A 14,876-nucleotide genomic window follows, 5' to 3' on the forward strand; every position below is an offset into this window, starting at 1 on the left:
GCCGGGCACGGTGGCTCACAACTGTAATCCCAGCACTTTGAGAGGCCGAGGCTGGTGGATCAGGCAGTCAGGAGTTCAAGACCAGCCTGGCCAATATGGTAAAACCCTGTCTCTACTAAAAATACAAAAATTAGCCAGGTGTGGTGGTGCATGCCTGTAGTCCCAGCTACTCGGGAGGCTGAGGCAGAAGAATCACTTGAACCCAGGAGGTGGAGGTTGCATTGAGCCTAGATTGCACCACTGCACTCCAGCCTGGGCGAGAGAGTGAGACTCCATCTCAAAAAAAAAAAAAAAAAAAAAAAAATTCAAGAAGCCAAGGTCCCAAGGTCAGGCATGGTGGCTCACGCCTGTAATCCCAGCATTTTGAGAGGCCGAGGCAGTCGGATCACTGGAGGTCATGAGTTGGAGACCAGCCTGGCCAACATGGCGAAGCCCCATCTCTACTAAAAATACAGAAAAAAATCAGCCAGGCATGGTGGCACGCACCTGTAATCCCAGCTACTCAGGAGGCTGAGGCACAAGAATCATTTGAACCAGGAAGCAAAGGTAACGGTGAGCCAAGATCACACCACTGCACTCCAGCCTGGGTGGCAGAGTGAGACTCTGTCAAAAAAAAAAAAAAAAAAAAATTCAAGAAGCCAAGCTTCAAAGTTTTGTTTAATATAAAGCTAATCCCTTTAATCTAAAATATTAAAGGAATTATCTATTTTAAAAATTCCAAATAAAGCCAAACTGTACCTCAGGGTTTCAATTTTAAAAATCTTGACTTATAATTAAGAAAAAAAGGGAAGCAGGATCTAAAAGGTAGTTTCCAGGTTTCAGTAAAGCAACCAGCAATACCTGGCTGAGGAGTCTAAGTTCCTGAGATCACTCATGGAACCAGTATTTGTTGAGCACCCATGATGTTCCATACTCTGGGCTCCAGATGTGAACATGCAGGCTGCCACTACACTTAGAGAAATTACAAACCATAAGACATAGCCCTTGAGTGCAAAAACCACCTCTATTAAGTAATATAAAATATTAGAGCTTGAGGGCTCCCAAGAGATTATCTAGTCTAATATCTGCATTGTACAAACAGGTTTAACTGAGTTGTCCATGGTTACAAGCAAGTTAGTGGTAAACCCCAACTTCCTGACTTTCCTTCACACTAATCTGTCCTTGTTTAGGAATTACTTCACCAAGAGTCAAGTCTTAATCTTTCATTCCTTTGTAACCCTGCAAATGTCATTCTGGAAAAACTAACCAATCTTCAAAATTCTCAATTCCTTTAGGCAGTGTTACTACTTTCTTCTTCTGTCTTCCCACAGAACTCTGTATATTTGCATTACTGCACACACTACACTGTACTGTATAACTTGTTTATTTATCAGTTTCCTCTCCATAGACTATGAGCTCCTTGAAGACAATTACTTTTGCACCAATCTAATAATTTAACATCCATGCTACCCCAGTCCCATCCCCAACCTCCTTTTCCTATTAGGACCCTGATACTATTCAAGTATCCACCCTCCTTCACATGGTCACATGCTTCACTCAAGGGAGGCCCCCACTTAAGACCAATAGGTTAAGCATGGCATTCAAAGGCAATCACGGACACTCATTTTCCAGTGGTGCTGGGATGGGCACGCAAAGTCACTCTAGCAAATGTGATGAAAGAAAAGTCTGCTGGGGAGCTTCTGAGAAAGGTTTCCTTCCCCCAAGTGAAAGGTACAAGAAGACATTCTCCTTCCCTGGACATTGCCTTAACTACTACTGGATTTATTTGAGACACTAGATTTCCTTGGAGAACTTTAGGTCATTTGAGTCAGTTTCCAATTACTCTTAAGTCAGAAGCATCCTAATATGCACATAGAAAAAGTGGTGGAGTTGTGACCCAAAAACATAGACAAGGTGATTTCATAGCCCTTAAAAATGTAACAACCATGGCTAACATCTGACTGAATGAGGAAAAGCGTTCAGCATTTTTTTTTTTTTTTTTTGAGATGGAGTCTTGCTCTGTCGCCCAGGCTGGAGTGCAATGCCATGATCTTGGCTCACTGCAACCTCTGCCTTCCGGGTTGAAGCAATTCTCCTACCTCAGCCTCCCAAGTAGCTGGGATTACAGGGTGTGCCACCATGCCCAGCTAATTTTTGTATTTTTAGTAGAGATGGGGTTTCACCATGTTGGCCAGGCTAATCTCGAACTCCTGACCTCGTGATCCGCCTGCCTCGGCCTCCCAAAGTGCTGGGATTACAGGCATGAGCCGTCGCACTCAGCCAGCTTTCAGCTTTTAAGAACTAGAACAGTACAAATATGCCCACTCTCACCCTCTTTTTCAACATAGTAGTGGAAGTCCTTCCCAGAGCAATTAGGCAAGAGAAAGAAATAAAAAGCATCCAAATTGGAAAGAGTAGGTAAAATTGTCTCTGTTTGCAGATGACATGATCTTATATACAGAAAAACCTAAAGATTCTACCAAAAAACTCTTACTCCTGATGACTGAAATCGGTACGGTTACAGGATACAAACATACAAAAATGAGTAGCATTTCTATACACCAACAACAAACTAGCTAAAAAAAGAAATCAAGAAGGCAATTCTGGCCGAGCACAGTGGCTCACGACTGTAATCCCAGCACTTTGGGAGGCCAAGACGGGTGGATCACCTGAGGTCACGAGTTCGAAACCAGCCTGGCCAATGTAGTAAATCCCCATCTCTACTAAAAACACAAAAATCAGCCGGGTATGGTGGTGCACGCCTGCAGTACCAGCTACTCAGGAGGTTGAGGCATGAAAATCACTTGAACCCAGGAGGCGGAGGTTGCAGTGAGCCGAGATTACGCCACTGCACTCCAGCCTGGGCAAAAGAGCAACACTCCATCTCAAAAAAAAAAAAAGAAGAAGAAGAAAGCGGCAATTCCATTTATGACAGCTACCAAAAATAAAATACCTAGGAATAAATTTAACCAAGGAGATGAAAGGCCTCTACAAGGAAAACTACAAAACACTGATAAAAGAAACTGAAGAGGATACAAACAAATAGAAAGACATCACATGCTCATGGATTAGAGGAATTAATATAGTTAAAATGACAATAGCAATCTACAGATTGAATGCCATTCTATCAAAATACCAATGACATTCTTCACAGAAATAGAAAAAAAAGTCCTAAAATTTGTATGGAACCACAAAAGACCCTGAATAGCCAAAGCAACACTGAGCAAAAAGAACAAAGCTAGAGGCATCACACTAACAGACCTCAAAGTAAACTACAAAGCTGTAGTAACCAAAACAACCTGGTACTGTCATAAAAACAGACACATAGGCCAATGGAACAAAACAGGGAACACAGAAATTAATCCACATATCTACGGCCAACTGACTTTTGACAAAGGTGCCAAGAACACTCATTGGGGAAAGGCCAGTCTCTTCAATAAATGTTACTGGGAAAACTGGATATCCATATGCAGAAGAATAAAACTAGATCCCCATCTCTCACCCTATAGAAAAATCAACTGTAAATGGATCAAAGACCTAAATGTAAGACCCAAAACAATAAAACTACTAGATGAAAACATTTAAGAAATGTTTCAGGACATTAGTCTGGGAAAATATTTTATAAATAAGACCTCAAAAGCACAAGAAACAAAACCAAAAATGAACAAATGGGATGATATTAAACTAAAAAGCTTCAGGGCAACCAAGAAACAAGAGAGTAAAAAGACAAGCTACAGAATGGGAGAAGATATTTGCAAATTACTCCTCTGACAGGAGACTTTTTTTTTAAGCCAGTAAAATTTAGCAGTGGGGAGTTGTATACCAACTTTAGTGACACTATGTTAAATTCTGATAACTCATTACCATTGGACCAGCCAAACGGGATTAATATCCAGAATAAACAAGGAACTCAAACATCTCAACAGAAAAAAAAAATTATATATATATACATATCCAATTTTAAAAATGGACAAATAATCTGAACAGACATTTCTCAAAGGAAGACATACCAATGGCCAACAAATATATGAAAAAATGTTCGACATCACTAATCATGAGGGAAATGCAAATCAAAACCACAATGAGGTATCAACTCACCCCTGTTAGGATGGCTATTATCAAAAAGACAAAAAATAATAAATGCTGATGAGGATGTAGCAGAGAAAAGGGAACTCTTATACACTGCTGGTGGGAACATAAACTAGTACAGCTGCTATGGAAAACAGTATGGAAGTTCCATAAAAAACTATAAATAGAACTACCATAGGATCCAGCAATCCCACTAGTGGGAATTTATTCAAGTGAAAAGAAATCAGAATATGGAAGAGATATCTGCTCCCCCATGTTCACTGCAGCACTATTCACAACAGCAAAGAATCAACCTACATGTCCAACAACAGAGAATGGATAAAGAAAATGTGGTATATTCAATGGAATATTAATTAGCCATGAAAAAGAATAAAATCCCGTCCTTCACAGCAACATGGATGGAACTAGAGGGCATTATGTTAAGTGAAATAAGCCAGGAACAGAAAGTTAAACACTACATGTTCTCACTCATATGTGAAGCTAAATAACAGTTAATCTCATAAGTAAAAAGTAGAAGAGACGATAGCAGAGGCTGGGAAGGACAGGAGGAAGAGAGGTATAGGAAGAGATTTGTTAAAGAATACAAAATTACAGCTAGATAGGAGAAATAACTTCTGGTGTTATATACCACTGTAGGATGACTAGAGTTAATAGTAATATAGTTTCAATTAGCTAGAAGGAGGATATTAAACGTTCCCAACACAAAGAAATGATAAACATTTGAGATGATGGATATATTAATTACCCTGACCTGATCACTACAAATTATATTCATCAAAATATCATTAGGTATCCCATGAGTATGTAAAATTATTTGTCAATTTTTACAAATTACTTTTAAAAAAGAACAAAATTGTAGTGACTAGACTTTATCACCTCTCATCTCTTTTAACACTCGCACCATCCAGCACCAATGCCAAACACATAAGAAGCAATTGATAATTTCAGCTAAGTGAATAAACAGATGAATGAAATAGAATTTTAGCCAGAGTTTAAAGACAGGTAGGATAGGCTGGGCACGGTGGCACACGCCTGTAATCCCGGCATTTTGGGAGGAGGAGGCGGGTGGCTTGCTTGAGCCCAGGAGTTCAAGACCAGCCCGGGCAACATGGTAAAACCTTGTCTCTACAAAAATACAAAAATTAGCTGGGCATGGTGGCGCACGTCTGTAGTCCCAGCTACTTGAGAGGCTGAGGTGGGAGGATTGCTTGAGCCCAGGAGGTGGAGGTTGCAGTGAGCCAAGATAGTGCCACTGCACTCCAGCCTGGGCGACAGAGCAAGACTCGGTCTAAAAAATAAATATACGAAGACAGGTAGGATAAATTTTATATCCAGTGATAAGTGAAATATTAGGGCAATAGGTAACGTATTTAGAAAACAGAGTACATACTAGAGCAAAGGAGTCCTGTGACTTTTTAAGTCCAAACCAATCTCAAAAGATTGAGTCAATGAAAAAAGCACAAAAGATTCTATGTCTGTAAGCCCCTTTAACAACGTCTATAGCACCTATTAGCAGTCATGCAAACTCTCCACTCTTCCTTCCATCTCAACCTTGACCCAAAGGGGCCACCCTCTAGGGAAATGAAAAGAGAGCATAAGGGGATGAGAATAGGGGAGGAAGCAGAGAGAGGAACACCACCTCTTCAGCACTTCAAGTCCAATCTAGTTTTTATTCAGGAAAACTGTCTTTGAAAGGTAAAATGGTCAACCTTCACGACTCATTTGACCCATGGGACCTGGCCCCCACCCCCACCCCCACTCCCTACCAAGGTCACATAAACAGCCTTGACCTTTAGATCCTGAAGGATATCCTCTAGGCCATTACACACAGGTCACAGAAAAGTCCTTGACAACCTATTTCTGTCCAGGTACCTGGGCCAGCTTCACAACAGTGACCTGAAGGTAAAATGCTCCACACCTTATTACCAATTCAATCCCCCAGAGAAAATCAGTGAAGACATTTGTTATTTATAAAGGGCAACTCACCAAGGTCTCAGGACCTATTTGCTGCAAAACATAATATACACATTAACTTCAAGGCTACAAATGCTTGTCAACTTTCCAACAAAAAAGCCTCCCCTTATCTGTTCACTTGACCTTCTGTCAAAGTGCTAAAGGATGAGAATTTTTTGATCTGCAATGAGTATCAAAGAAAACTCTACTTTCTCCAGAATGAAATAACCCAAGGCCACAATCTGATTGAGTGTCTTACTAGAAACCAAGGAAGCATGCTGACTGCTCACAAGGGATTTTTATAAGGGCCAATTTTGATCTACCAGTGCAGCCCAGCCACCTCCAAAAGTGCCTTCTAAAGCACAGCTTACCTTGTAATTGCTAGAGTTCACCCAAGAGGTAGCAAGTCCATCCACAAGTTTATCTAACATGGTCTGGTCATGCTCAAGGTCAGCAGACTTCTGTTTGTCTGAGAAATAGTCTATCAGTTCTTGGCCAACCTGCAATCGTTTCCCCACATCCTTCTGCAACACCTGCGCCAGGCAGGACTCCATGCGAGGCTCCATAGTGGAATTCAAATCCAGATCCAGCAAAAGCTAGAGGGCAGTCACGATGACTCCCTCCCAGCAGACGTATCTGGGAGGTTGCCTCTTTGTTCGCTGAAGGTTACTAAGAGCCTGTGTTTCAAAGATGCAATCTGGGGAATGGCAACAATGCACCATGTGTGTCTGAAGAGCAGCTGGTAGGATATTAAAAGTCCAATTTAAATAACTAGTAGGAGATAAAGGAGTGAGTGGCAGAGTGATGTTCTACTACTGGGTCTGAAATACTTCATAATTCAGCAGTCCATTCTGAAAAGTAAGAGAAGAGAACGACAAATTAGCACAGATAACATAACACCCAAATGTTATGAAACATTAAATCAAAGACAAAGCAATTCATGCTGCAGAATCATTTATAATCACAAGCAGAGCGAGAAGCATGAACGGCTTGGCAACCATATCGAAATAACATAATTATTATTTTTATCAGGAAGAACATCGAAGCCCAAAGAAGAGCCAATGAGCCACACAGTTGGCAGGTTGATGTTTTCCAGAATTTCCCAGCTTGTAAATGCACCAGACAGGAAAGCAATCTTCTGCTTTAGCTAGCATATTTATTTGTAACTTCAATTCTATTTCCCACCAGAAATCTAACACCACTCTGTGTCTGAATCACTGTAGGTACTGCAGCTTACTGCCTTACTCTCAGTCTTCTAAAAAAAAACCAAGTATGGGAAATGAGGAAGGCTCTATAGAAAACACTGTTGACCAAAGTGGCTGGCTTGGTCACATTAAACAAAGTCAAGGGCAGCACCTACATCACACTACTTTACAATGGAGTAAGTGGTAGCCTCCATCTCCTCCTCCCTACAACAAAGAAAAGAAAGACACAAAAAGAGAAAGGAGGTGGGCGCAGTGGCTCACGCCTGTAATCCCAACACTTTGGGAGGCCACGGCAGGCCGATCATTTGAGGTCAGGAGTTCGAGACAGCCTGGCCAACATGGTGAAACCCTGTCTCTACTAAAAATACAAAAATTAGCTGGGCATGGTGGCAGTGCCTGTAGTCCCAGCTACTCGGGAGGCTGAGGCAGGAGAATCGCTTAAACTCAGGAGGCAGAGCTTGCAGTGAGCCGAGATTGCGCCACTGTACTCCAGCCTGGGCGACAGAGTGCAACTCCGTCAAAAAAGGCCGGGTACGGTGGCTCACACCTGTAATCTCAGCACTTTGGGAGGCCGAGGTGGGCGGATCACCTGAGGTTAGGAATTCAAGACCAGCCTGGCCAACATGGTGAAACCCTGTCTCTAAAAATATAAAAACTAGCCAGGTGTGGTGGTGGACACCTGTAATCCCAGCTACTTAGGAGGCTGAGGCAGGAGAATTGCTTGAATCCAGGAGACGGAGGTTGCGGTGAGCCGACACAGTGCCACTGCACTCCAGCCTGGGTGACAGAGCTGGACTCTGTCTCAAAAAAAGAGAAAGGAAATAGGCTCATATTCTGATCAGTTATTGACACAGTATTCTCCGCTGACAATAGCACCATTTGGGCCTAGTGTTTTGATATTAAAATTAGGAGATCTCAAAATCATGTTTGAGTAGGGTAAAATACATGATATGAGAAAAGTACCAAAACCGTTCTAACTACACAAATTGCATAAGCTCTCTCGTTAACCTATAGCTGCTGGAGCATTGTACAAATTTATTTCTGACTTACTCTAAAACCATTACTTAATTCCTTTCATTTTAAACCAAGAAGACCCATAGGAAACCTATCTTCAAGATTCAGTACCTCCCTGATACTGTGCCAAATTGAAGCTTTTTTCACACCAGTAGTAAGTCCCAACTTTCAAAGTTTCCAGAAAACATATCTTTGTTTTCTAAATAAAGTAAAATTAAAATTCTCAGTAGAGTAACTCACAGTCTGAACACAGCAATTCTCTCCCTTTCTAATACCACCCCATCCCCACCCCTAATCTCAACGTAAAAACATTGAGATTCTTTCTGAGGTATGGAATCATATACATCAAGTCATTCAATGAGGAAAACCCTCCTTCAAAGCCCCAGCACATAACTACCCATCTTCTACTTTACTGCTTCCAACAACACAGAAGAGTGAGGGAAGGATAGCATTCAACGGGACTTAGTATCTCACAGAGCAATCCTTCCTTATATTGAGGAGAGATCTGCTTTCCAGTCATGTCCAAATGCTGGAACTAGTCCCTCCTTCACAACAAAGAGCTTCAAAAGCAGCTATTATCCTTCATTCCAATTTTTAGTACAAATGTAATACTTGCAGTTCCTTTATCATCTCTTATGTTGGACTAAAGAAGGTATCAACGATACGGGAAAACTTAAGAAACCAAAAGAATCTCTTTCTGGACCTACTATTAGTCCAAGAAGCAGAACAAATAAGCACCAGGTTGGTGGTATATTAAAAATGGCCACAAATTCTTTGCTACTCCTACCTCACCCAGGTGGAGTCCAAGTCCCCTCCTGCAATGACTCTGGGCTTAACCCTGTGAAATCAGCAACTACAAAAGCAAGCAAAGACTTGCTATACAAGCAATGGAACTTGCCCTCTTAGAATGCTGCCCTGGGACGGCCATGCTGTAAGGAAGCTGGCCTAGCCTATTGGACATGAGAGGCCACTTGGGGAACCAACATGCTCTGACCAACAGCCAGCAGCAACTGCCAGACATGTGAGTGAGGCCATCTGGGACCATCTACCCATTCCAGTCGTCATCCGACTGCAGTTATGCCAGTAAGTGTAAGGAAACAAGCAGAAAAGCCACCAAGCCAAACCACAGAATTATGAGAAATAACATTTCATTGTTGTTTTATTTAAGCCACTAAATTCAGAGCGGTTGGTTACAGAGCAATAGATAACTGATATACTCCTTCTTCCCCTAAACAACTATCATTCATTTTCATTCATTCTCAATGAAAAAAAATTTCATAGCGTTTACTCCTTCAAGGGGCCTAAAATGAACAGATACTAACCAATAATAATAATAATAATACAATTTAAGGAGCTACATGAGGTGTCAGCTTCTGTGCTTACGTAATACTGATTTATATAATACTATCTCTAATTCTTCAACTCTATAAAGTAGGTGTTAACGTCCTTATTTATAAATTAAGAAATTGAGGTAAAGTATAGATAAGTAATTTTCCAAGGTTGCATGGACAATGAGTTTCCTTTCCCCACCTTGAAAACATTATTAGAAGTCTTAGCCTAATTCTGTTTTGACTCAAGAGGTCAGATTTCCTGTTTAGACAGGAAGCAACAGGCAAGAGAGCAAGGTCTCTATTCCTTAAGTAAACACTAGGAAAGTTCCCATTCGTTCAAGTCTCCCTACTGTGATTTATAAATATATATCATAAGAAAACCTCCCCTTCAACCATAATTGTATAAGATTTCTAACAAATAAGCATATGCTTCTTGAACGTAATTATGCAACAAAGGCTTAGTACACTCAAAAACAGGTCACAAATTCCTATCAACGAAATGCAAAGAATGAAAGAGACTGGAAGCCCCTAGGCTTTAAGCAGATTGAATTCTCTCTTCTTTTTCTTCTTAATTTAAAAAAGGTAACTATTCTCTCTTACACTTATTCTTATTAAACTGATGTTTTTGGACTTTTTTCATGTTTTTGTGTGTTTTCTACATCTCTATTTTCAGGGAATATTAATCACATAGTTCCAAATTCACAAGGTACAAAAGTGCAAGACCTGCCTTCCACCCCTGACCCTCCCAGCCACCCAGTTTCTCTCCTTAAAAGCAAGTAATGGCCGGGCGCAGTGGCTCAAGCCTGTAATCCCAAGACTTTGGGAGGCTGAGGCGGGCGGATCATGAGGTCAGGAGATGGAGACCAGCCTGGCCAACATGGTGAAACCCTGTCTCTACTAAAAATACAAAAATTAGCTGGTCATGGTGGCACGTGCCTGTAATCCCAGCTACGTGGGAGGCTGAGGCAGGAGAATCGCTTGAAGCAGGGAGTCAGAGGTTGCAGTGAGCCGATCACGCCACTGCACTCCAGCCTGGCAACAGAGAGAGACTTTGTCTCAAAAAATAAATAAATAAAAATTAAGCAAGTAATGTCACCAGTTTCCCATGTATCTTTTCAGAAATATTTTCAGCTATCAAAACAAATAAATATGTGTTCTCCTCCCTGAATCTTCTAGGAAGGTTTTTCTAAACATTTGCAATTAAATCATAAAAAGAGAAATCAAAAAATAATTGTATTTTAAAATGCAGAAAACTTAGAAAATAAGAGGGAAAAAGGATGACGTGGAGGAGTGAGAGAAGAAGGAGGAGGAGTTACAGGAGGAAGAGGAGCTGGAGGAGAAGGAGAAGTTACAGGAGGAAGAGTAGCCTGAGGAGGAGGAGTTACAGGAGGAAGAGAAACTGGAGGAGGAGGAGGAGTTATGAGAGGAAGAGGAACTGGAGGAGGAGGAGTTATAGGAGGAAGAGGAGCTGGAGGAGGAGGAAGAGTTACAGGAGGAAGAGGAACTGGAGGAGGAGGAGGAGTTACAGGAGGAAGAGGAACTAGAGGAGGAGGAGGAGTTACAGGAGGAAGAGGAACTAGAGGAGGAGGAGGAGTTACAGAAGGAAGAGGAGCTGGAGGAGGAAGAGGAACTAGAGGAGGAGGAGGAGTTACAGGAGGAAGAGGAGCTGGAGGAGGAAGAGGAGTTACAGGAGGAAGAGGAACTGGAGAAGGAGGAGGAGGAGTTGCAGGAGGAAGAGGAACTGGAGGAGGAGGAGGAGTTACAGGAGGAAGAGGAACTGGAGGAGGAGGAGTTGGAGGAGTTACAGGAGAAAGAGGAACTGGAGAAGGAGGAGGAGGAGTTACAGGAGAAAGAGGAACTGGAGGAGGAAGAGTTACAGGAGGAAGAGGAACTGGAGGAGGAGGAAGAGTTACAGGAGGAAGAGGAACTGGAGCAGGAGGAAGAGTTACAGGAGGAAGAGGAACTGGAGGAGGAGGAGGAGTTACAGGAGGAAGGAGAGCTGGCGGAGGAAGAGGAGTTACAGGAGGAAGAGGAACTGGAGGAGGAGGAGGAGTTACAGGAGGAAGAGGAACTGGAGGAGGAGGAGGAGTTATAGGAGGAAGAGGAACTGGAGGAGGAGGAGTTGGAGGAGTTACAGGAGGAAGAGGAACTGGAGGAGGACGAGTTGGAGGAGTTACAGGAGGAAGAAGAACTGGAGGAGGAGGAGTTGGAGGAGTTACAGGAGAAAGAGGAACTGGAGGAGGAGGAGGAGTTACAGGAGGAAGAGGAACTGGAGGAGGAGGAGTTGGAGGAGTTACAGGAGGAAGAGGAACTGGAGGAGGAGGAGGTGGAGGAGTTACAGGAGGAAGAGGAACTGGAGGAGGAGGCGTTGGAGGAGTTACAGGAGGAAGAGGAACTGGAGGAGGAGGAGTTGGAGGAGTTACAGGAGAAAGAGGAACTGGAGGAGGAAGAGGAGTTACAGGAGGAAGAGGAACTGGAGGAGGAGGTGTTGGAGGAGTTACAGGAGAAAGAGGAACTGGAGGAGGAGGAGGAGTTACAGGAGAAAGAGGAACTGGAGGATGATGAGGAGTTACAGGAGGAAGAGGAACTGGAGGAGGAGGCGTTGGAGGAGTTACAGGAAGAAGAGGAACTGGAGGAGGAGGAGTTGGAGGAGTTACAGGAGAAAGAGGAACTGGAGGAGGAAGAGGAGTTACAGGAGGAAGAGGAACTGGAGGAGGAGGAGTTGGAGGAGTTACAGGAGGAAGAGGAACTGGAGGAAGAGGAGGAGTTGGAGGAGTTACAGGAGGAAGAGGAACTGGAGGAGGAGGAGTTGGAGGAGTTACAGGAGGAAGAAGAACTGGAGGAGGAGGTGTTGGAGGAGTTACAGGAGAAAGAGGAACTGGAGGAGGAGGAGGAGTTACAGGAGAAAGAGGAACTGGAGGATGATGAGGAGGAGTTACAGGAGGAAGAGGAACTGGAGGAGGAGGCATTGGAGGAGTTACAGGATAAAGAGGAACTGGAGGAGGAGGAGGAGTCACAGAAGGAAGAGGAACTGGAGGTTGATGACGAGTTGTTACAGGAGGAAGAGGAACTGGAGAAGGAGGCATTGGAGGAGTTACAGGATAAAGTGGAACTGGAGGAGGAGGAGAAGGAGTTACAGGAGGAAGAGGAACTGGAAGAGGAGGAGTTACAGGAGGAAGAGGAACTGGAGGAGGAGGAGTTGGAGGAGTTACAGGAGAAAGAGGAACTGGAGGAGGAGGAGGAGTTACAGGAGGAAGAGGAACTGGAGGAGGAGGAGTTGGAGGAGTTTCAGGAGGAAGAGGATGAGGAGGAGGAGTTACAGGCAGAAGAGGAGCTGGAGGAGGAGTTATAGGAGGAAGAGGAGCATGAGGAGGAGGAGTTATAGGAGGAAGAGGAACTAGAGGAGGAGGAGGAGTTACAAGAAGAAGAGTATGAGGAAGAGGAGTTACAGGAGGAAGAGCAGCATGAGGAGGAGGAATTATAGGAGAAAGAGGAACTGGAGAAGGAGAAATTGGAGGAGTTGGAGGAGGAGGATTTGGAAGAATTGAAAGAGGAGGAGGACTTGGAGGAGGAGGAAAAGTGGAAGGAAGAGGAGGAATTAGAAAAGCTGGAGAGGGAAAAGAGGAGGAGGAGTTGAGGGAGTTGGAAGAGAAGGAGAAAAAGAAGAGATGAAGTTAGAGAAGTTGGAGGAGGGGGAAGAAGAGGAGCTGATGGAGCTGGAGGAGGAAGTAAAACTCTCTTCCATCCACCCATGTCCTGCCCAGGCTCTCCATGAGGGAAAAGTAGAATAAGGAAACCTAGGTCTAAAGTTAACCATAACCAGTGGTCACCTATGCCTGAGCTAAGTAAAAACCAGGTCTATTAGTCTATTATATTTAAGACACAATGGGAGGCACTGCGATACAAACATAAACAGGACTCAGCCCTTGCCTGCCTTTAGTGAGATTATGAACTACTGTTTACAATCCCTGCAGTCAGTTCTATAATCATCATTCAAAAGAGCAGTGTTACAGAGAAGAATTACCTTACAGCAGTGTTGACATCAAAGATTATTCAGAATGTAACACTATTTCTGAGTTTAAAAAAAAGTTCAATTTTCATAATTTTCCAAAAGAATATGAGAGACATTAAAATGATACAGAAGAAACAGTAGAGGAGGTGACAATAGCAAAACATCTTTATTCTTCTTCATCAGGAAAAGTTTTCTCCTTTAGCAAGATCTACTATGAAGGCTACTGAACACACTAAATGTCACTGTATCAGTCACCTGAGAAAAGGGACACATTTTGGATATTTCTGAAAAAATGGTCCAACTCTTCCCAAACCCAAACCCCTTTCATTCTCCAACATCAACATTCTCTGCCCCCACTACAGTAGTTAGGTTCCAAGCATCTCAACCTTTTCCTGTCACATCATCTTGGTCCACAGGGCCAAAACAATAAAAGGTCAAGACAATTGTCCTAGTCATGCTCCTTTATAGTACCCTGGAAAGTAGAAATTATCAGAGGAACCAGAACAATGGACCAACTCTGCTGCAGGTCAACAGGAAGAAGTTTAAAAATACCAACTTCAACAAGAAGGAAGGAACACACAATAAAAAAAGACATCTTGATGTAATGAAAAGAGGCATCAAGTTGGGAATTTTGGCCTCTGGTCTTGACTCCCAAGTGGCACTGTGGAGAATACCAGCTCTAGCATGCATCAAATAAGATTAAGAATGAAAAAGCACATGCACAAAGCCTTTTTTTTTAAAAAAAAAAAATAGCACCTATCTCCAGCCCCTTAATTACCATATCTACCTGTGGCACTTACACACACTATCAGTAAAGAACTATTAACAATGGGGGATGGAAAGAAGAGAATCAATCATAAGCTCTGACAACTTTTTTAGTCTACTGTAGACTTCTTTGTAAGAAATTAAAAGGAGGACCATTTATACTTAGTAGCTTAAAACAATAATGAATTAATATTTCCCATAAGTCTACGAGGTGGCTGGGCTCAGCTGGGAAGATCTTGTGCTAGTCTTTCCTGGGATCATTCATGCAGTTGAGTCATCTGGCATTTTTACTGCAGCTGAAGGCTCTACAATGGTGTCACTCACATGTCTGGGACTCTGGTGCTGGCTGTTGGCTGGGCCTCTCTCCACACATGATCTCTAACCATTCAGTGGCATAGCCTAGAGCTCATCATGTAGTGGCTGGAGCACTCCAAGATGACAAAGGGGGAGGCTACCAGGACTCCTGAGACCTGGGATCCACAGTTTGCATGTTACTTCTGCCACAATCTATTGGTAAAAGCAAGTCAC

General features: G+C 42.8%; 1 protein-coding gene across 36 annotated transcripts in view; it reads right to left on the reverse strand.

Moving 5' to 3' along the window:
• The window catches only part of CLASP1 (cytoplasmic linker associated protein 1), a 311,687-nt gene that overhangs the window by 261,533 nt on the left and 35,278 nt on the right, over positions 1–14,876 (reverse strand). For all 36 annotated transcript variants that reach the window (XM_047443792.1, XM_047443782.1, XM_006712383.2 and 33 more), the window contains one exon: positions 6,393–6,872. In XM_047443792.1, the coding sequence (XP_047299748.1) occupies positions 6,393–6,587 (195 nt within the window). In that variant the 5' untranslated portion in view covers positions 6,588–6,872. The remainder of the gene's footprint in view (positions 1–6,392; positions 6,873–14,876) is intronic.

Source organism: Homo sapiens, chromosome 2 (assembly GCF_000001405.40).
Source record: "Homo sapiens chromosome 2, GRCh38.p14 Primary Assembly".
In the NCBI taxonomy this organism is placed as follows: domain Eukaryota; kingdom Metazoa; phylum Chordata; class Mammalia; order Primates; family Hominidae; genus Homo; species Homo sapiens.